General features: G+C 37.0%; 1 protein-coding gene across 10 annotated transcripts in view, besides 1 other annotated feature; it reads right to left on the reverse strand.

Moving 5' to 3' along the window:
* HELZ (helicase with zinc finger) overlaps positions 1 to 23,949 on the reverse strand; it is a 175,546-nt gene that overhangs the window by 35,958 nt on the left and 115,639 nt on the right. For 9 of the 10 annotated variants that reach the window (XM_047437225.1, XM_047437224.1, XM_011525544.2 and 6 more), the window contains 8 exons: positions 22,250 to 22,454; positions 17,562 to 17,613; positions 16,569 to 16,759; positions 14,004 to 14,211; positions 7,923 to 8,002; positions 2,715 to 3,285; positions 2,091 to 2,325; positions 768 to 1,284 (listed from right to left, as the gene is read on the reverse strand). In XM_047437225.1, the coding sequence (XP_047293181.1) occupies positions 768 to 1,284; positions 2,091 to 2,325; positions 2,715 to 3,285; positions 7,923 to 8,002; positions 14,004 to 14,211; positions 16,569 to 16,759; positions 17,562 to 17,613; positions 22,250 to 22,454 (2,059 nt within the window). Of the gene's footprint in view, positions 1 to 767; positions 1,285 to 2,090; positions 2,326 to 2,714; positions 3,286 to 7,922; positions 8,003 to 14,003; positions 14,212 to 16,568; positions 16,760 to 17,561; positions 17,614 to 22,093; positions 22,455 to 23,949 lie in introns of those variants that run through there. The other variant, XR_001752712.3, reaches the window with a different exon arrangement.
* Positions 1,407 to 2,606: an enhancer, noted in NCBI's record as "CDK7 strongly-dependent group 2 enhancer chr17:65103924-65105123 (GRCh37/hg19 assembly coordinates)". NCBI's record gives its function as "activates an origin of replication core promoter dependent on BRD2, BRD4, P300/CBP, MED14 and CDK7 cofactors, with strong dependence on CDK7, by STARR-seq in HCT116 cells {active_cell/tissue: HCT116}" and the evidence as "EXISTENCE:reporter gene assay evidence [ECO:0000049][PMID:35650434]".

A 23,949-nucleotide genomic window follows, 5' to 3' on the forward strand; every position in this document is an offset into this window, starting at 1 on the left:
GGTTCACGCCATTCTCCTGCCTCAGCCTCCCGAGTAGCTGGGACTACAGGCGCCCGCCACCACGCCCAGCTAATTTTTTCTATTTTTAGTAGAGACGGGGTTTCACCGTGTTAGCCAGGATGGTCTCGATCTCCTGACCTCGTGATCTGCCCGCCTCGGCCTCCCCAAGTGCTGGGATTACAAGCGTGAGCCACTGCACCCGGCAGAAATATCTAAGTATTTTAAGATAAAATTCAGTTTAACTTAAAATGCTTAGTTTAGCACAGTCAATTTTATGTTAAAAATCTGCAAATTCTGATATTTGGGAATCAGAGTCCCTGGGTCTAACAAAGCACCAGGCTGAGTGGCAGGAGAAGGAGCACAGCACTTGGAGCTGGCACTGGCTGAAAAGCCAGCATCTTTGGAAAGTTCTCATTAACAAATTTATAATTAACACATGTAACTTAAAGCGAAAAGAAGAATCACTAAAAGCCATTTCCTCAGATTAAAAAAAGACAAAGCTCCTTGAATAGAGTCCTCAGATATTCAATATTTTCTTTAAACAGCAATAAAAGACTTTTAAGGGGCTTCATGTTTCAACAAAAGTGTCCACTTTACAAAACCTGAAATACAATAGGAGGGTGGCAATTAAAATAATTCCCAAGAAAGGATTATCTTTAATACGCTGTTAAATTCAATAAGATCTGTGCCTTCCTATTATCAAATCAATAAATACTGATATTTTTCACAATCAGCTAATAACAAAAGGAAAATAAGAAGACATTTACCTCTTCTAAGCTAGGGAGCGAAGAAGAAGATACTGTTCGAGATGACAATGGGTGAAATGGCTCTTGACCAATAGCATGTTGATGATTCTGTATTTGTACAAAAGGGTTCTGCGGTGGCCTGTGAGGCAATGGAGGTAGGCCATAGGGAAAACCTGGCCCCATTAGGTGATTCTGTTGCAAGTTAGCAAAAGTCCATGCTCCATCAGGTGCCAGGTATTTCAAGGGAGGAGGGGCAAGGTGTTCAGATGGCAACGAGAAAGGTGAGTTGAATATCTGGGGTGGGAGGCGCTGTGGAAATGCTGGGTTGCTGGCTACTTCAATGTCTCTGCTGTTATCATTAAAGTTAGAAAAGTGGCTACTGTGGTCTGTACTGGATGGGGGAGATGGGACTGCTGGTGGGCTTCTACTCTGTACTTGTCTATATTGCAAAAGTCTTGATTGAGGTGGTGGCATTTCAGCTAGTTCCCGTGTTTCACTTTGATCACGATGAGACAGTTCTCTGATTAAGTCTTGAAACCTACATGAAAACAATAAAATATGAGGAGAAAACAAAAGGCTCCATCACATTAAGGAAAGCTTAGTCAACTACACATGTATTTTCAACAAACAAAATCATAGTACTAATAACTAGAACTGGCATTAATTCATCTCAGATGTAAGCATTAACACTCAATAGATGCTGAGGTGAAGAAATTAAATATGCTCAATTACCTGATTTCTTTCTGTTCCCATTGTATTAAAAACATCTGTCCTTGTCTCTATACAGCTTTGACAACTGGAAGTTATAAAAGGTCACCATGATGGTGGACCTTATTCAGAAGGGATTAGGAAACACTTCAGAGCATTCATGTGACACTGGCCACAAAAACAAGCTTAGAGTTAGGACCAAATACTCATATGTAGCTGGAATTATAGGAATGTAGAATTCTGTGCCACCATAAAAATAATTAATGATATAATTTTTAGCTTTTAACCACGAATTTACTCCTGTCTTTATTCATTCTTTGCAAGTATTACTACTAAATAAAAAAAGCTGCTCACAGTGATGGTATGTTTCTCTCGCAGAAAAGACCACAAAGTAAGGGAACAAGTTAATTTCCAACCCATAGTAGATCATCCATGCCTAAATTTGTAGAAGAGTTACTTCTAAATGAGTTTTCTGTATTTTAGAGTCAACAAGAGAACTGTGTAGCGTGTGCTTGGAAGGCCAGCATCCAATTTCTCTGAGGCAATATTCCAGCTTGAAGCTAAAAGGACTACAGTCAAAAAAGAGAACAGTGAGGGGGTCGCATTCCAGGGGCTATTTTCAGTCCGCTGGAATACCTTGAGTATGTGGTCTCCACTTCATCTTCGGCACTGCTGGTGAGCTTCCAGTCTGCCCTCACTGGCGGCTGATGTAATCCCAGGGGCGGCTGAGGAAGATGCTGGAGGTGAGGATGGTGATGGTGTGGGTATGGAGCGCTGCCCTGACTGAGAAAGGCATGATGCTCGCTCCACTGCTGGAACCGTGCCTGCTGCTGCCTTAATGTTTCCAGAGCGACACTCCCATGTATACGATCTGCAAAAATATTTGTGAAAAATTTTTTATGAATTTGGGGTTTCAAGTTCATTATTTAAAGTTTTTTACTAACATATTTTCTCCACAAAGACAAAGGACGTAGCTACAAATTTGGTTTTGGTAAGAAGTAAATGTTTTCTAAATTTGCCAGAAATCAGTTATGGTGATGATGATGACAACTCTTCCTCACTTACATAATGATGATCCTGACATCCACTGGATACTATCATACAGCATTTAGAACTAGTTTCTGATTATCACACTAAATGGGGGGGTTTTGCTAGCATTATTTGAAGAAACAATTCAATCTTAACCCAAAATGATATTATACAGTCCAAGTCATGTTAAGTAATCTCTGAATTTTCACATCTGGCAGTAATAGAACTTACCTAAAGCCTCCCCTATAGGTAATCCCGAGGGGTTCTCATCAATGAAGCTATTCAGATGTGAAGGAAGAATGGGGCCGGGTTGTGCAATGGCTCTCAGAGGACTGTGGCCTTCTTGCAGCATGGGAGGGGGCTGCTGCTCCGGAATTACAGCTTCTGCAGGAGGAGACTGTGGCCGATGAGCAACTGCACTATTAAAAAAAGCATTGTTGGGTCCCGCCTGATATGCAGGAGAAAGCTGAGGAGGTGGCTGCTGAGGCTGCTGATTCAACTGACTTTGCTGCTGGACTACCTGATTTGGCTGAGGTGGTATCTGATTTGGTTGTTCAGGCAAATTATTCTGCTGCTGATTTAACAAGGTGTGCTGCTGTGGAATTGGAAAGGGTGGTCTTGGTAGCTGGGGAAGGGGATGAAAGTGGCGATTAGGGATTGCATACTGTGCGTGGGGAGCAGGAAGGGGAAGATTTATGTGTCTTGGGTTGAGATTATCTTTGCGAGGAAATTTGGTACTGGGATAAACAACACTAGGACGTGATTCAGGACTTCTGTTCTGTGGATTTGATTCCAAATCAACCTAGAAAAAAAGAAGAAGCCTTTTTTAACTGCAGAAGATTCAAATTCAGTTGCTCTCCACCTTTTCCCAACCCTAACACATCTAAAGGATATGATACATTGATATCTTCCAGCAGGAGAGCTGAGTGCTCAATTATTTACTTTCTCACAATCAAATAAAGGAAATTTTTTTTTAATTTAAAAAGATGACAGAAAAAAAACAGCATATTAAATGTGAGTCATAAGAAAAGATACTGCCATTTTATTAGCATATCTACTTTAATTCCTTTCAGGGCATTATTTTTAATTTCACACTTTCTTCCTTAGAAAGATGGCCATTTATTTCATTCTGATATAAATCATTAAAATGTGTTTTCCTTCTGATTTCAGGGTGGGTTTGGGTTTTGTTTTGTTTTTTTTTGAGACAGAGTCTAACTCTGTCTCCCAGGCTGCAGTGCAGTGGCACCATCTTGGCTCACTGCAATTTCTGCCTCCTGGATTCAAGCAATTCTCCTGCCTCAGTCTCCCAAGTAGCTGGGATTACAGGCATGCACCACCACGCCCAACTAATTTTTGTATTTTTAGTAGAGATGGAGTTTCACCATGTTGGCCAGGCCTGGTCTCAAACTCCTGACCTCAGGTGATCCGCCTGCCTCGGCCTCCCAAAGTGCTAGGATTACAGGTGTGAGCCATCACACCCAGCCTGATTTTATTGTTTTTATATATCTAATATATTTCCTCAAAAATATCTATGTTAATAAAAAGATGTATCTCAATTTAAACAACTTTGAAATGAACAAACAAGTACTATATCACCTTTGTATATAACTAGTTTGGTTGTCAATTTTTCCATTACATATTGACATTCTTTCTTTAACATTTATTGTGGCCAAACAATACACTGTGCCTGGTGTTGGAAATTAAACAGGCAATAAGAAGACTCAGCCTACACATCAAGAGCCTAGTGCAGGCGTCTATATACCATGCCCCCACTCCAATGCCATTTCCGGCTCACCAGGTTTTGTAAATAAGGTTTTCTTGGAACACAGTCACACTCATTTGTTTACATGTTGTCTGTAGCTGCTTGTGCACTATAATGATAGAGCAGAACAGCTCCAACAGAGACCATGTGGTCCCCAAGGCTAAGATTTACTATCTGGCTTTTTACAGAAGAAGGTTGCTGACCCCTGGCCTAGAGTTCAGTAGAAGATAACAATATGTAAACATATCACTAGAGGTACTGTAAGAGGATGCAACTGTAGTGCCTGAGAAAATTAAGGAAGGTTTCACAGAGGTCATGACATTCGAGTTGAATCTTACAAAAAGAGGTGGAATATTCCAAGGAGAGAAGGACATGCTAGGTAAAGGTAACAGTTTATGCAAAGGTTGAAGAAAGGAAAAGTATGGCAGATTCGGACAGCATGGGAAGTTTTGTGTACGCAGAGCTATAACTTCACTTGTTTATATATTAGTTTTCCCTTTTCAATATCAGAGGAAACTACAAGAGCCCAATCACATGAGACCCTGAATTATTCAATACTGAGTAATTGTTTTTAATTCCATAAACTGTGATAACTACAAAAAGTTTTTAAGCTGGGGAGTGTTGTCATCCTTCTGAAATGTAAATTTGATCATAAGTGATGACAATGTGAAAAATAAAATATAAGATGGAAAGAGGCAATTTTTCTTTTCCGGCTCTGTCAAAACACTCCATGCATTACTTGGAGTGTAAATAAATTTGGCACGTCAATCTCCTTACAAGTTTCACTGATGAGCTAGTGACTGAGGATTGCAGAGCACTTGCCTCACCCTAGGCTCTTAAATTAGCCATAGAACTGACCACTCCCCAAAAACAGAACAAGCAGCTTGTTCCTGAGTTGCAGCTGGGGTACACTTGGTGACCAACCTGTTGCAACAAATGGTTGTGATGCAAATTGTGTGCCAAGTGCATCCTCATCTCTAATCATCTAGCTCAAATGGATTGCCATTAAATTTGGCCAATTTTAGGCCCTTAAGATTACTGAGTATGTATAAATTATCTACAAAAAGAAGTGAGAAGCACGACAATTCTATCTCAGTTTTCCCAAGTATGCAATGCCTGCTCTTCAGATGTCTCAGAACCTGATTAAGGTTCTTCATAAACAAACATTTTCCTCCATAAATCTCCATCTTTTCAATGACTAAAATTATATTCAGCTGGGATATACTTTTTTCCAGAAGATATTGTTGATATGCATAGTTTGGTCACATGAAGGAGGTCATAATCAGGTGTCAAGGTTGTTTATGAATAAGTTGCTATCTTAATTGTCTCTATCACTTCTGACCCTGACATTGAAAGGAAGCTAGGTCTGCGTCACAGAAATTTAGATAAGGACTGTGCTATTCTACAATACTACAATTGGCTCCCTAAGCAAGGTAGAGAATGGTAAGAGCTGAAGAAGCCTGCATCTGCTACTATCAGAATCAGATTCTCCTCTATCATTTTCCTCTTAATACTGAGGAGGCACTGAGTCAAAAGAACCAGGACTAGTTCTTTTATTTTTCCTGGGCCCCAAGACAAAGCATCAGGGTGGGAGAGAAAACAAAACATGTCTTCAGGTTGCCTAGTTCTCTAACAGAGAAGAATCCTAACAGAAATTTTAAAACAAGGACATGAGAGACACTTAGATATCTTGGCTTCAGTTGCTCTGAGAGCACCTAAGACTCGTGCGATTGGTTTCGTCCCAAGCTGCCTCTGACTATATGTGCTGCTGGTGCAGGTGCACCATCCTGACATGCCACTCGTTCTCTCTCTGCACCACTTCCCAAACACGTACCACTTCAGCTTTCACTGCAGCCCCCACTTATCTATCAGGAGGTTCCCTTGGCTGCCTCATTTGTACTGCAGCCCCTCCAGTGGGTACTGAATCCTTCCATATATAGAAGCTGTGAGTAAGAGATGCTTATGTGATATAAGTAACTGAATAAAGAGAATAGCTGCTTAAATAAAACTAGGCTGAGGTTGGAGATACAGATTTGGAAGTCGGTATCATGAAGTGGATACTTAAAATTATGGATTGCACTGGTTTATAGTAAGAAACCATAGAATGCAAGACAGGTGGGACTAGGACAGAACTCTGAGAAATCCCAGCTTAAGGACTAGAGACAGATGCTTGGGGAGGCTGAGCAGGAACTTTTTAAAAAAGACGGAGGTCATGTTAGAGAGATTGTGAAAAGTAAAAATGTGTCAAAGAAAACGAAAGAAACAAGATGGTCAAAGACAGAAGTAGAAAACAGTGCCTAATACCAAGAAAAGTCAAGTAAGACTACATTTGAAGTATGTTCGTAAGAGCACAATAGTTTTAGTGAAATGTAGACTATGTGGATTAAAGAGCAAATAAGAGGTGAGGAAGAAAGGAGAAATGAGGCAGTAGCTATAAAGGAGATGAAGGTTAAAGAAATTATCTTTTTAAAAAAATATATCAAGCAATTTGCTTACTTTAGGCTAAAAGAGATCTAAATATGCTATAGGCTGACAGGGAAGAACGAACAGCTGGAAAGAATCCAAAGATAAATGAGGAGAAGGGACAAGGTCTATGTGGTAGTTGAAGAGGAGAGATTAATTTTTTTTTTTTAGACAGAGTCTCGCTCTGTCGCCCTGGTTGGAGTGCAGTGGCGTGATCTTGGCTCACTGCAAGCTCCGCCTCCTGGGTTCACGCCATTCTCCTGCCTCAGCCTCCCGAGTAGCTGGGACTACAGGCGCCCGCCACCACGCCCGGCTAATTTTTTTGTATTTTTAGTAGAGACGGGGTTTCACCGTGTTAGCCTGGATAGTCTCAATCTCCTGATCTCATGATCCACCCGCCTTGGCCTCTCAAAGTGCTGGGATTACAGGCGTGAGCAACCGCCAAGTAGAGATTAATCTTAACGGGAACTCTTCCTCTGAGACTGGTGATCAGGAAGTAAGGGTGCTCAGGGCTATGGTAAAAGTGCTAAATTTAAGGTTACAAATTAACAAGAGCAAATCCTGATGAGGTCAGTCTGAGGCAAGCCATCCAATAGGATAATAGAATGTGGAAGGTAATCAGGCTTGAGAAGAGTCACTGAGACAACTGGGCAAAGGAAGTGAGATACGTGTGAAAGAAATGCAGGGGAGCCCTGATGGTTCCATTCAAATTAGAAAACAAGAACTTCCAGTGGCACTAATTCAACCAGTGACTTGATTTTCTCTAAGTAGTTTATAAGCACAGAAGCAGAGAAAATAGATGAATGGACAGATAAAGAATTAAGGGCTTAGTGGGTATGATGAGAGAATAAGGTGAGGGACCTGAGTAAGTCTTCCCCTCTCTGAGGAAGAAGTTCTCCTTCTTCACGATAATGACACACTTGTAATGACACACCTGTAGCTCTGTCTTCATTTACTACCTTATCATAGAAAATCTCTAAATTCAATTTTATCACTGAATAACAGAATTTGAGAAAAGTATACTGATACATGAAATAGCACAGCCAAAGAAAAGATGAAGAAAGAGAAGGCAATATGGCTCACTATATCCCTGTGAAAAAATAAACATAAAGGATAAGTGTACAAAGGGAGGTATTTTTCTTTAAAACATCAAGATTCCAAGATGACCAATCAGACTAAATCCACTAGGACAACACAGTAACTAAGCAGCATACCTGTTTTGGTTCTGTTGGCTTTTTCTCTGGTGTTCGAATCTTATTAATTTCAGGTCCGGAATTATTTGTATCACTTTTACCTAAGAAAATATTTAAAAATCCTTATAAGTTTTCTCCAGTGGATATGACACTTCCAATGCTTATCCAATATTAGAGAAAGAGGCAGAATACTTTAAACACTTTTCACCCATTATGATCAGTGTATGACTACTTGGGTTTTGTTCTTAAATTTTCAGAGTTACAGTTTCTCTGCAAGAAAGAAAACTTACAAATGAAGCAAACTTCATTGACAAGGCAAAGCCTAATAAGGGAAAAACCTTAAAGCATCAAATAATCCCAAAGGAAACTACCCAATCTCCAGGAATTACAGCCTCATTTGCTTAAACTAGATGTGTTAAAGGCCTTCGCCTTCTTGCCTATTTATAAAGGCTCAATGCTTTGGTCACTTATAAATGCAATTAAGCAAAAATCTAAATAACGCCTCAATCTAATTTAGTAAAGGAATCTAAACATAATAAAGATATTCAGAAAGTAATGTAGTTATACTGCTTAAAAGTAATAGATATCAAACCGTGTATAAGTGGGTGATAAATAGTAGAGCAGGCAAAATTAAGGTTTTAAAAAAGCACAGTTATAATAGACAATTCATACATGGGAAAGGCTTTTAATCTACAAAAGAATTAACCACTGGATAGTTTAAGTTCCTTGAAGGAATCCTTGATTTAGGTTCTTGTTCCAAAACATTCTTTTTGGAATTCCACTGGAACTTTGTAAAATGAATTATCATGCCAGAATTACCTTACCATTAAGCTTCAAGAAATGAAAACTATAGTATCGGAGATGAAGAAAGCACTGAATGGAATTACCAGCAGAATAGACATTACAGAAGAAAAATCTGGCAAATTTGAAGGCACAGAAATAGAAACTACCCAAAATGAAACATGAAGAGAAAAAAGAATGTTAAAAAAATTAGCACCCATAAACTGTGCAAAAACTTTAAGCATCCTAATATATGGGTAATTAGAATCTCTGAAGAACAGTGGTAGGGGCAACACAGAAAAAAATATCTGAAAAGATATAAAGTTTAAAAATTTACATACTTGATAAAAATTATAAACTCAGAGATCTGAGCAACTCAACAAACCTCAAACACAAGAAACAGGAAGAAAACTACATCAAGGCATATCATAATCAAACTGATAAAACCAGTATAAAAAGAAAATCTATAATGCAGCCAGGGAGAAAAAGACTTGTTACATACAGAAAAACACAGATAAGGATGGCATCAGATTTCTCACTGGAAAAAACGCAAGTGAGAAAATGGTAGAACAACACCATTAAAGTATCAAATGATAAAAACTGCCAACCAAGAATTCTCCACCCTACAAAAATATCTTTTAAAAATGAAAGTGAAATAAAGACATTTTCAGGCACACAAAAGCTGAAAGAACTCATCACCAGGAGACCTGCAATACAACAAATATTTTTAAAAAGTCTTTCAGGCAAAAGAAAAATTGTATCAGCTGGAATCGTCAATATACAGAAAGAAAAATTACTAGAAATGGTAACACATGGGTAAATACTTAAGACTATTTTTCTTATAATTTAGAACTCTTTTACTTGGCTGTTTAAACAAAAATAACAATTATGTTTTGGGGATTTGTAACTTATGTAAAAGTAAAATACATGATAACAATAGCATACAGGCTAGGAGAGAAAAAATAGCATACTTTAAGCTTCCTTTACTGTAAATGAAGTGGTAAAATATAAATTGGAAAGTAGTCTGTGATAGGTTAAAGATTTATACTATAAACCCTAAAGCAACTAGCAAAATAATAAAACAAAGAGTTGTCACTGATAAGCCAATGGAGACAAAAAGGAGTCATTAAAAAAAAAAATACTCTACCAATCCAGAAGAGGGCAGAATAAAAGGAGAAGGCGGAAAAATCAATTGGACAAATTGAAAACAAATAGCAAGATGATAGAATCAAACTTAACTGTATCAACAATCACATTAAATGCAAATGGTCTAAACACCCCAATTAAAAGGCAGAGACTGTCACATTAGATTGAAAAATATCAAGAGCCACCTATATGTTATCTAAAATAAACAAACTTTAAATATAAAGACACAAATAGATTAAAAGTAAAAGGTAAAAATACACACACACACACACACACACACACACCATGCTATCACTTGATAAGAGAAAGCTGAAGAGGCTACACTGATATCACACAAAGTAGATCTCAAACCAGAGAATATTTTCAGGGACAAAGAAGGTCATTCCATAACGATAAACGAGTTAATTAATCAAGAGTATGCAATCCTAAACATTTATCTCCTAATAATAGAACTTCAAAATTCATCAAGAACTCACAGAACTTAGAAACCTGAACATTGAAAATTAGACAAATACCAATTATATTGGGAGATTTCAATACCCCTCCTCAGTAATTGATAGAAAGAGTAGAATCAGCAAGGATACAATAGACCTGAACAACTCTACCAACCAACTTGACCTAATTAACATTTGTTTTTCTTTTTTCAAACAGAGTTTCGCTCTTGTTGCCCAGGCTGGAGTGCAATGGCATGAATCTCGGCTCACTGCAATCTCCACCTCCCAGGTTCAAGCAATTCTTCTGCCTCAGCCTCCCGAGTAGCTGGGATTACAGGCGTGCACCACCACACCCGGCTAATCTTGTATTTTTAATAGAGATAGGTTTCACCATGTTAGCCAGGCTGGTCTCAAACTCCTGACCTCAGGTGATCCGCTCACCTCAGCCTCCCAAAGGGCTGGGATTACAGGCATGAGCCACCATGCCCGGCCCCTGATTAACATTTACAGAGCAATCTATTCTTCTCAAGTACACACAGAACATTTACCAAAATAAACCACATTCTGGGCTGTGAAACAAATCTCATTCAAAAGCATTCAAGTCATACAAAATATGTTCTCTTAACACAATGGAATTAAAGTACAAATCAGTAACAGAAAAATTTCTAGAAAATCACCAATAATCAGCAACTAAAGCACCTTTCTAAATAATCCATGGGTCTAATTTCAAGAGAAATTAGGAAGCATACTGAACTAAATGAAAATAAAAATACAACATACTGGTCTTTTTGGAATGTATTACTGAAGAGAAAAATTATAAATTAAATACTTATATTCATTTAAGCTTTCACTTTAACAAAATATGTGCAAAGACTGTATATACTGAAAACTTTTTTTTTTTTTTTGAGACAGAGTCTTGCTCTGTCACCCAGGCTGGAGTGCAGTGGTGTGATCTCGGCTCACTGCAACCTCTGCCTCCCAGGTTCAAGCGATTCTCCTGCCTCAGCCTCTCAAGTACCTGGGATTACAGGCATGTGCCACCATGCCCGGATCATTTTTATACTTTTAGTAGAGACAGGGTTTTTCCATGTTGGCCACGCCTGGTCTCGAACTCTTGACCTCAGGTAATCTGCCCACCTTGGCCTCCCAAAGTGCTGGAATTACAGGCATGAGCCACCGTGCTCGGCCTGAAAACTTTTTTTAATGCTGAAAAAAAAATAAAGACCTAATAGAAAAAAATGGAGAGATATATACTCCGTTCAAAGATCAAAAGAATCAGTATTGTTAAGATGTTAATTCTCCCCAAAGTGACCTAAAGATTAAACACAATGTCAATCCAAATCCCGGAAGGCTTTTTAGTAGGAATTGACAAGCTGATTCTAAAATACATAGAAATGCAAAAGACCTGGAATAGACACTTTTGAAAAAGAACAACGTTGGAGGACTTACACTACCTGACTTAAAGACTTTTACAAAGCTATAATAATCAAGACAGCATATTTGGTGTAAACATAAACATATGCATTAATAAAAAGTATCCACATATAGGATCAACTGATTTTCAACAAAGGTGCCAAGGCAGTTCAATGAAGGAAGGACAGAGTTTTCAACAAATAGTGCTGGAATCACTGAACATACATATACAAAACTAAAACAAAATAACAACAAAATCTCAGTCCTTACCCTTACACTATATATAAAATTTAACTCAAAATGGACCTAATTAATGTAAGAGCTAAAAACTATAAAACTTCTAGAAGAAAACATAAAAGAAGATCTTGGGTTAGATATATTTTTTTTAAGACACAACACCCAAAACATGATCCATAGAAGAAAAAATGGATAAAATGGACTTCAACAAAAATAAAAGCTGCTGCTCTTTGAAAGATACTGTTAAGAAAATGAAAGCTAGACACAGTGGCGTGTGCCTGTAGTCCCAGATACTCAGGAGGCTGAGGTGAGAGGATTGCTTGAGCCCAGGAGTTCAAGGTCAGACTGCCCAACACAGCAAGACTCTGTCTTTAAAAGGCAAAAAAAAAAAAAAAAAAAAAAAGGCAAGCCATATCCTGGGAGAAAATATTTTCTAAATATATATCTCATTAAAGATTAGTATCCAGAATGTATAAAGAACTCTTATAACTGAAGACAATCAACCCAATAAAAAAGTGGGCAATAGATATAAATAGAGGTTTCATCAAACAAGATACACACATGGCAAATAAGCACAATAAAAAGATACTCAACATCACTCATTATTAGGGACATGCAAACATGTAAATTAATACCACAATGAGATATGATTAGACATCCACTAACAAGAGTAAAATTTAAAAAAAGACTGAGCATACCAAGTGCAAATGGTAATCTGGAACAACTGGAAATCTCATACATTACTAGTAGAAATGAAAAATGGTTCAGCCACTTTTGAAAAATAATATGGCAGTTTCTTATAAAGTTAAATATATATTTATAATATGCCCAGCAATCTCACTCCCAGGTATTTACCCAAGGGAAATAAAAACATGTTCACATGTATGTTCACAGCAGCTCTATTCATAAGGGCCAAAAATTAGATACAACTAATAGGTGTATCAAATGATGGATGAATAAACATATTGCGGTACATCCATACAACTGAATACTAACGGTAAAAAGGAACAAACAACTGACACATATAATCTGGTGGAACAGCAAAAGCATTAAGCTAAGTGAACAAAGCTGGACACAAATAATTATAGAATTCCATTTTTATGACATACTAGAGAGTATGGGACAAAAGTCAGATCAGTGGTTGCTCAGGGCTGGGAGCTGGAGGATGGGATTGCAAAGGGTGGAAAGAAACTTTTTGTAAATATGTAAATATCTTGTATCTTGATTTTGGTGGAAGTTAACAACTCTGGATATTGTTAAAACTCATCAATGTACGTTTTAAAAGGGTGAATTTTACTGTATATAACTCATACCTCAATAAACTTGAATAAAAAATACAGTAATTTTTCCTTGTAATTCTAGCAGACTTGTAGTAAAAATAACCTTTATATCAACAATCCCACAAGATTAATGCTTAGTACACCACAAAAATATTTCGAGTTAACAAAAATGTTTAACAGGAGAGGACCTTCCATCTCAATTTTAAATGACTACCATTTTAAAGTACTCTAAATATTCAAATTTAATATTTTTTTCAGAAACTCAGTGACACCAATCATAAGTGGTAGGATTTAACCTAAAGGACCCTCTGAGGTTACATCTCAATTTTGTGTCTGTGTACATAATTTGTATCTTCTGGAGAGAGGATCCATAGTTTATATGTTAGATTCTCTCCCTTTTCTTTTTTTTTTTTTTTTTTTTTTTTTTTTGAGATGGAGTCTCACTCTATCGCCCAGGCTGGAGTACAGTGGCGTGATCTCAGCTCACTGCAAACTCCGCCTCCCAGGTTCATGCCATTCTCCTGCCTCAGCCTCCCAAGTAGCTGGGACTACAGGCACCCGCCACCATGCCCGGCTAATTTTTTTGTATTTTTAGTAGAGATGGGATTTCACCGTGTTAGCCAGGATGGTCTCGATCTCCTGACCTCATGATCTGCCCGCCTCGGCCTCCCAAAGTGCTGGTAGATTCTCTCTCAAAGAGGTCTATAATCCATGAAAAAGTTAACAATCATACTGTTAAAGGAACTTTCTATGTGGCTAAAACTTTACCTGTCATCAGTTTATGAACAGGAGAACAGCGAAGTACAACTTACCATTTCGATTTTGCTCATGTTGATCCTTCTCCTGATGCTGATTTTGTGGCTGGCCTATGGTGACAGGTGGGTGATGTCCAAGGCCATAAGGAATAGGAGATCCTCGTCCATGTGTCTGTAATAGGTTCATGTTATAGGCCATTGCTGCCTGATGTGTAATAATTCGAGGATCAACTGCAAACCTACCCTGGTATCCTGTCCATGGTACCTAGGTTATTAAAAAATAAAATACATGCATTAAGTATATTTTGGAAGGCAAACTGCTAGAGTGCTGCTGATTAGGGAAAAGCAAACATACAAAGACATACAAACACACACACACACAGATGTTAATTTTCTCAAAATAAATAACTACAAAGTTGATGCTAATACTAACAATTGTGTCTTAACTGGCTAAAAAACAGCTCCCTGCACCTTTAGTATGTAATGGAAAATAGATCATTTTTCAGATTAGGAAGAAACTGAGGGCTTAAAATTGGTAATTATTCCTTGAGGCATTAAATCATTTTATAGTATTTACTTGTTTCCCCTCCATATGAATGTATACATGTCAGATTACCATAAAAATAATCTTTTAAAGTCATAATTGCATAGAAACATAGTTTAATAGACAGGGGGAAAAGTTAAGGAAGAACTTAGCCTAAGGAGTCTCAACTCAAAAAACTGGTATTCCAACTTAATATGAGTAACCACATCATTTAATGTTCATTTATTATAGGTAAAATTCAAATAGGTCATCTGTGCTTTTAATTCAACTCCACCTTAAAATACAAAAACAGAAAACTTGTTTAAGTGTGTCTAGATATATAATCTCTGCATATTAACACAAAAGGAATAAATACAATGACATCTGAGCTACTGCTCCTATTATTTTATTATAACTGTTAAATGCAAACTCTCAGAAATCTTACAAAATAGAAGTCTCTTTGACCTAGTAAAGTGAAATAAAAATCCTAAGGGACTTACTATTTAAAGCAGATGATGTATAGTGTTGCCAAGCTGTCTGGAAGAAATAACTGCTAAAATCCAAAGTCTGAAGTCTATGGGGAGTGGGCATGAATTACGTATTTCTCATTTACAGTCATTCTCCTTGGCTGTCATGATTGTGAACTATCCTGACCAACGTGGCTGAGAAATGTTTGCAGCTAAGCATTTTCCCATTCTGGAGTGTGGGCAAGGTTGCCAAAAACCTTTGGCAATGATCATCTCAGCCTGAAATTACAGTGCTTGCCTTAAATGAAAGAAATTGTTTCCAAGGCTAAAACTCCTGAATTGAAAATACTCGTGTCAGCAAATTAACAAAATATTCAAAAATTCTAAAGAAAGAGAAAATGGGTTTATATACAAGACGGACGGCCTCTAAAAATCTATAGTCTTACAAAGGATAGAGTAATGTTTTTAAGTAGTAGTTAAGATTTCACAAGATGTGGAATTTCTCAAATCAATTTAGATCCAAGTGAACTAGACTAATCCAAGCCTGTGTCCTGTATTTCTTGGGAACAGTTTTTGACTTATACAAAAATAAAAAGATAAAATGAAAACATCACTTTACAAAATGAGACCAATTCATTAGCTCCGTTAACTTTTAGCTCAATTTTCCTCAATAAAATATTTTAAAAGATTACAAATTAAATATTTAGATTTACAAATTAAATTTTAAAGATTACAAATTACAAATTAAGATTACAATTAAATATTTTAAAAGATTACAAAGGTGGCCAGGCACAGTGGCTCATGCCTGTAATCCCAGTGCTTTGGGAGGCCAAGTCGGGTGGATCACCTGAGGTCAGGAGTTTGAGACCAGCCTGACCAACATGGGGAAACCCTGTCTCTACCAATACAAAAAATTAGCCGGGCATGGCCAGGTGCAGTGGCTCACACCTGTAATCCCAGCACTTTGGGAGGCCAAGACAGGCGGATCACAAGGTCAGGAGATCGAGACCATCCTGGCTAACATGGTGAAACCCCGCGTCTACTAAAAATACAAAAAAATTAGCCAGGCGTGGTGGCAGGCACCTGCAGTCCCAGCTACTAGGGAGGCTGAGTCAAGAGAATGGCGTGAACCTGGGAGGCGGAGCTTGCAGTGAGCCAAGATCACGCCACAGCACTCCAGCCGGGGCAACAGAGTGAGACCCCGTCTCAAAAAAAAAAAAATTAGCCGGACGTAGTGGTGCATGCCTGTAATCCCAGCTACTCGGGAGGCTGAGGCAGGAGAATCGCTTGAACCCAGGAGGCAAAGGTCACAGTGAGTCAAGATTACACCACTGCACTCCAGCCTAGGCAACAAGAGCAAAACTCTATCTCAAAAAAAAAACAAAACAAAATAGTACAAAGGTTTCTAAATTGAATTATAATTTCTTCACAGTCACTAGTAACCTAATAACAAATTGTAAGCAACAATTCGTAATTTCAAGGTTAGAGGTAACATTTGCTTTAAAAGAAGATTATCAGCACTGAAAATTTTTTTTAAAAAAGAAGTTGGTAGAATGCTATTTGGGATTAGAACCATTTTAGTGAAACCTATTTTACTTGATTCAATAGAAAGTATTTCGAATGTCCACTTACAGGTAAAGGCACCGACATAACTACATTCCCTCCATAGACAGCAGGTACATAAAGAATACTTGTCCCAGTGTGAGGATCTATTCTTTGAACAGGGCTTGGAGATTTTCCCAAATTTGGGTGAGGTCCAAGAGGGGGTGGAGGAGTATATGCTCTAATAGGATTGCCAATAAGTACAGAAGGATTGGGCTGAACTGAAAAATAAACAGAAAAAGGATGCACTCAACAGCTGTACATAGTCATCCAGAAAAAATAATTTAAATCATTCAACAGCAAAATATATTTCCCAGGTTTGCCTAAGATATCTTATCATCAAAGAATTATCAGTGTGGAAAAGTAAAGCATATTACAAAAAAAAAAAATTTTTATAATGCTCCCTAAAATTAACTTGAATTATACAAAGCATTCCTTTTATAAACTAGCATAATTTTAAATATTTTCTGAGGAACTCAGGATGTGTCTTTCAAGAGAGAAAGCTATGCACACACTCCTAGTAAACAGTCTTCTATCTAAAAAATTATACAACTCTTCAGAATAAAGTTTTGACTTACAACTGTAACAGAACCACATACAATATGAAAGTTAAGGAATTATTTTAAAAGCACGACTATGCAATATTTAAAATAATTTAAGTACATTTTTTATCTTGAAATATTTATGATCTGATATTTGTAGGACATAAATATTTTCTGAAAATTTATGTTGCATAAAAGGCTTAAATGTTTTTCCTCAAAACCTCTGGATATGTACATGAATACCTACAAAATTGCCCCTTTTCAGAAATAACATATCAATGCACTGATAAAACCCTAAGTGTTGAATAAAAAAATTGAGAGGTTCCAAAGTGACTGTGTGTGTGTGTGTGTGTGTGTGTGTGTGTCAGAGAGAAAGAGAGAGAGAAACCATCTCCCCACCCTCCTCTTTCTTGTGGTGAAATTTGGGGAAAATCTCTTACATCATAAAAGCAAGTTTTCATAGGGTAATTTTTCCACTTACCAATTCCATCATTCTGGAAGTGATCATTCTGGGTATGATGAAGACTTTTCCCCTTTAAAGAAAAACACAAATGTATAATAATTTAAGCATGTTTAGTATTAGAAAACAATAACCATTTTCCTAATCATATGTAAATTAATGTACACATCAATAATTAAAATCTAAAAACTGTGAGTCTATAATTAATAACCATTAGACTGCTTTGAGCCAATTTTCTTTTTAAACATTATGTCACAGCCATCTCAAATAATATTGCTGGGCCTCAAGTTTTCTCAGTTTCAAATTAAGGGTATCTAAAATTCCTTTTTTATGAATATTTTTCATTAAAATGAAATACGCAATCAACATGATTTAAATTTTATTCCTTTGCAGAAATAGAATTGCAGTTTCTCTATACATTTTCTAACAAATCACGAAACACAGAGGTTGTTTTTCAAAGTAAAAATGTTAATCTTCAAGATGAGAACCTTTAACGGAATAAAAAGAATGCAAATATGGCTTAGGATTTATGACGTTTTGAGTATAATTCATGCTGTGTTAAAGTATAAAATTTACTTTAAAAAAACAAAAACAGGAAAAGGGGAACTGTCATTATTTGCTTGTGAGATAATCTAGCTAACTGCTAGACAGCAATATGGCAATACATATCAACAGCATCAAAAATGTACATACGTTAACCCAGTAAGTGCACTTCCAGAAATTTATCCAAATGAAGTAATCATGCATTTGGGCACAGAGAGCATGGTTTATGTGTGTAATAAATGTTAACAATCTACATGCCCATCAGTGCAGGATTTATTAAATAAGCAATAGCAAATTCACATAATGGTATATTTAGTCTACCATTAAAAATGATGACATTTGGGCAGAAACAGTATTTGAAGAGACAATGGTTCTGAATTTCTGGATTAAAAAAAAAATTCTCTCTTCCCATGGGCTAAAAGTAACACGTATCAAGCCAATTGAGGAAAAGTAGCACATTGCGCAACTTACCTTTAGACACACACAAATTTGTAAATTTGTAAATTACATCTGAAAACTAAAGAGGGGATTATGTCTACAGCAGGAAAAAAAAATCATTCTTGACAAAAGCAAAAATACAATGATGTTTGATTTACCTACCTATCTAACTGTTGGAAAGAGCAAATATTCAGATCAGCAGTAAACACAGAAGGTTTAAGGTCAATTGGTTATGAGTGAGGAAGGGCAGCTGAAGTCAGAAAGTCATAAAAAAGCCTCATGAAGTCAGAAAAAGACCCCCTAAAAAATCATAGTTGGTCCATTAACCTCAAGAGAAAGCATGTTCACAGTGATTGGCACCAACTATATATATATATATATATATATATATATATATATATATATATATATATATATATATATACTTGTGAGGAATAGAGACGTGATAAGAAAAGCATACAGAAAAAAGGAGAAAAAGGCAAACATCAAGATGGCAAAAGTATAAGATGAGAAGCAGGAGCAATTAGAAGAGACAAGATCAGCCAGTAGCACACACACTGACAGAAGAAAGGAGAGCCAGTGACACAAACAGCAGATAAGACAGTTCCAAAACGGTGACAAACCATTTAGATTTCTTATCCTCCAGACCTATCACTAATTTGCTAATGACTCAACAACCAGGGACAACTGCTTAGCATGTGGAGGAAACACAGCAATTTAATCAGAGTGTGGCAGGCAGAATAGCCCCTGCAAAGAGGCCCACATCCTAATCCCTGGATCCTGTGAATATGTTATGTGGCAAAAGGGACTCTGTGAATATTAATTAAAGTTATAAATTTAAAACAGGGAGATTATCCTGGATTATGTGGGTGAGCCCAATCTAATCCCATGAGCCCTAAAAGCAGAGAAATTTCTCTGGCTGGAATAAGGGAGACGCAGCGGAAGAGGAAGTAAGAGAGATTCCCAGGGAAAGGAGGATTCAATGCACCACTGCTGGCTATGAGATGTAGGGGACACAGTTGAGAACTGGTAAAAAGCCTCTAGAAGTTAAGAATGATTCCCAGCTGACAGTCACCAAGGAAACAAGAACATCAGTCCTATAACCACAGGGAACTGGATTCTACCAACAACCTGCATGATCTTGGAAGCAGATTCTTTCCAGAGCTTCCAGGTAAGGGCCCAGAAAGCCAATATCTTGATGCTGGCCTTGAGAAGCCCAGAGCAAAGAAACCAACCAAGCCAATTCAGACATCTGACTCATATAATTGCCAGGTAATCCATTTGTGTTGTCACTATGTTTGTGCTTATTCATTACAGTAGCAATAGGAAACTAATAAATAGTAACCATAATCTAGGGTAATCCTACATTGTAAAGCTGGAAGAACGCTAGACAATATATATCAGCACTATGGGTACTGTGTAGTATACTAAATTAAAAAAGCAAATTCGGGCCTATGGAGTAAAAAGATAGTGGCATGTCTACAAGTATAACTCAGCATTCCACATGGTTCAATACAGGATACAATCCTCCAGTCACTGTATTTTGTATTTTGACTTAGCAAGAAACCATAGAACAGTAAATTTACTTAGTTTATATAAAATATACAGTGTTTGGTAGCTTATTAACAAAATAATAATGTAGCAGGCTGGACACAGTGGCTCAAGCCTGTAATCCCAGCACTTTGGGAGGTCAAGGCAGGCGGATCACTTGAGGTCAGGAGTTTGAGACCAGCCTGGCCAACGTGATGAAACCCTGTCCTGCTAAAACACACACACACACACACACAAAACTACTGGGCATGGTGGCGCTTGGCTATAGTCCCAGCTAGTTGGGAGGCTGAGGCAGAAGAATTGCCTAAACCCGGGAGGCGGAGGCTGCAGTAAAAGTCAGATTGCACCACTGCACTCCAGCCCGGGCAACAGAGCAAGACTGTCTCAAAAAATAATAATAGTAATAATAATGTAGCACTAAGCTAGAGCTAGCTATGTATGAAAGTCATGTCCCCTGTTCTCTTATACCGGGAGTCTTTTGTAAAAGCTCTCTTAAGCTTTACTCATTCATTTAAAAAATACTTCTAAGTACCTATTATGAGCCAGATTTTGCTCTAGGCACAGAGGTGAGAGCAACAAATAATACAGGCAAAAATCTCTGCCTTAAGTGAGCTTATCTTCCAGTTTTTGACATGTTTCCCCAATCTCCCACTACCTCCACCCACCCAATAAACTTCTGAACAAGATCTCCTTGGTAGAAATTGCCTTCAATTTACTTCCTCTTCCTCTCACTTCCTCTCACTTCTCCAACATGGCCACAGGCGGACTCGGGGGCTAATTTGCTACTGTGCTCCTTTAGCACCTACAATAACATCTGGCACATAGAAGTAACTTAACTGATAAATAAACAGCTAATACATTAATAGTATAAGCTTGAGAAATCTACAAGATTCATTTATGTACAATGTGTGATACCCTAAAAATGCCAAATCACAAGTATTATTGCACATTAGGTCCATTTTTATTAAACTAAGAATATACAACAGTATATTAACACAGAGAATAGTTCTCAGCTGAATACCTATTTAGCTAAAAGATTTTCAAAATATTAAACTCTTAATTACTGCTTACACATTAAGATTTACATTTTTTGGCCTGGTGCGGTGGCTCATGCCTTTAATCCCAGCACTTTGGGAAGCCAAGGCGTGCAGATCACCTGAGCCCCGGAGTTTGAGACCAGCCTGGGCAACATGCTAAACCTTGTCTCTACGAAAAATACAAAAGTTAGCCAGGCGTGGTGGATGCGCCTATAGTCCCAGCTACTCCAGAGGCTGAGGCAGGAGGATTGCTTGAGCCTAGGAGGCGGAGGTTGCAGTGAGCCCAGAATGTGCCACTGCACTCCAGCCTGGGTGACAGAGATCCCCTCTCAAAAAAAAAAAAAAGATTTACATTTTTTAAAGGAAGTGCAAAACTGACATACTCTTTTAATTCTTATTGGTAACTTTAATATGCTGATGATTATAAATATCAAAGAAAAAAAACAGAACAAATACTAAACATGCCAGTCTCAGAACCTTCTTTTCTAGATGGTAAGTGCAAGCATCTTTTTCAGGCACTCTAGCAAATAAGCCGGCTGTCTCTGTCCAAAATAACTATAGTTCAAAAGTGGAAATAGCCTTGACTCCCCTGCTCCACTCCCTCTGACTGGAATGCTTCTATACAAAAAATATGTGTCAAAATCAATTAAAGTCATCTTCAAGAAGTCAGCCAAATTTTTTTACTCTGTCAAATACCACCTCAAATAAATTGGTCATCAGTAAAGGTTCAGAATTATTTGCTTTATACAAATATCGTTATTATAACATTATTCCTTATAAAGAATATAAGGACATGTTTTAGTAAGTGTGATAATCTTTTAAACTTCTTTGTTTTATTCACATCTCACTAAAACAACTCTATCAGTAGAGAGGATTAGAAGGTTATTTTATATAAATGATACCAGAAGTTATCAGTATTAAAAATTGTTTGAGAATGATCATAACATTAAGCATGACTAAACACCATACTGTATTTTCACTTACATGTCCACACTAAACAAGCTCCTTGCAGAAACCGCTTGCCGCCAAATGTAACCTTCAATTCCAACACTTAAAGTAACTTGCATCCCAATAAACCTTTGGCACTTCTGCGAAGTTTTCTCCCTTTAACCTCTTCAATTTCATTAACAGAGGCTTTACCTTGGGTGGTGATTGCTGCTGTTTGTTGGTACTTCCTGAATGCTGCAGTCTTAGAGCCCGGGGGATAAATTCAGGTGCCAGCGGATTCAACACATATGTCTTCTTTAGTTCTAAAGCCTCTAACTGGGCTTTGATCTGTTCAAAAGTGATTCCATGTAGGCTACTGTTTTCATGACACAGGGCAATAAACCGTTCCCAAAATTTCCTACAGAAAAGATTTACAAGATCAGATTACAATTCAATGGATGAGATCACAGAAATGAATATAAATAACTAAAGATAATCTCAAATTCCACCCCCAACCTCAAATCCTTAAACCCAATAGTCATCTATGATTGAGATAAAATCTTTCTACCAGATCACAAGACTCCAGAAGTTTGATTTTGAAACTACAGTCATACCTTGTATTATAGTACATATAAAACAGGCTCTCCATTAATTCTGGCTCAACAATGCAAGTAATATGGTCAGTACTCACCTATCCACACTAATTCAAAATGATCTTTTTTATTACCCATATAATAAGTTTTCAAAACTGATGGCAACTCATTTCACACAAAATTTGTACTTCTAGGCATACTTACTACATACATATATATACTATGTATATAAAATTCAATATAATGAATATAAATCACATAATTCTAATTTATATACATACGCATATATACATATACACGCATGTATATGTGTATATATGCACATACATACACATATATACACATACACATATATACACACACATAGATACCACATGTATGTGTAATCTATGTGTGTGTGTATATATTTGAATTATAAGGCCAAAGTAGCCTAGTGTTAGATGACTAAGAAAAGCCAACTCAAGACATAAATTTGAGTCACAAAGTACATAATCCTCATGAGGATTCTTAAGAAATAACCAGCTACTCCGTATTTTTCTCTTAATTAACAGGTGCTTGTTACAAGCACAACTTATACCATTAACTAAGTTATAAGTGTTAAATGAATTATGAAAAATATGGGAAGTTGGAATGCTAATTTTAATGTTGATTATTCATTTCTTAATCAAATTCATAAGTACTAAAGGAGAACAGTACATTCAAAACTTGTTGCATTTACATACCGTTGTTTCTAGGTTTGAAAATTGATTTCTAAATATTAAAATTATTAAATACATATTACAAAAGACAACATATAAAGTTTTTAAATTTTAAATGACTATTATAAATATGCATACCTATGTTTAATATGAGAGGTTCAAATAATGTTTTATTATGCTATAAAAGATATGTGATATGGTTTCTTCCCAAGTTGGTATCCTTGTGTCCAGGTGGACAGCAGGTAATCAAGATGGCTTCAAGAAGCATAAATGAAAAGGTTTATATTATAAAAGTTAGTATATGAATGGGAATTGGGTTATTAATATATTCATAAAACTTTGCAGAGTTTAATTCCAAACCGTGCTTCTCTTACATATGCCTTATATCCATCTTTCCTAGTTTTTTGAAGATGAGTTTAAGAAATCAATTGAGATACTGGAGATTCAGAAGGTAGCGGGGTGGGAGAGGGGTAAGGAATGAAAAACTATCTGTTGGGTACAATGTACACTACTCAGGTGAGGGGTACACTAAAAGTCCAGACTTGATTACTATACAACTTATCCATGTAAACAAAAACCACTTGTACCCATAAAGCTGTCGAAAAAAGAATTTTAATAAAAA

Source organism: Homo sapiens, chromosome 17 (assembly GCF_000001405.40).
Source record: "Homo sapiens chromosome 17, GRCh38.p14 Primary Assembly".
NCBI classification, from domain to species: Eukaryota; Metazoa; Chordata; class Mammalia; order Primates; family Hominidae; genus Homo; species Homo sapiens.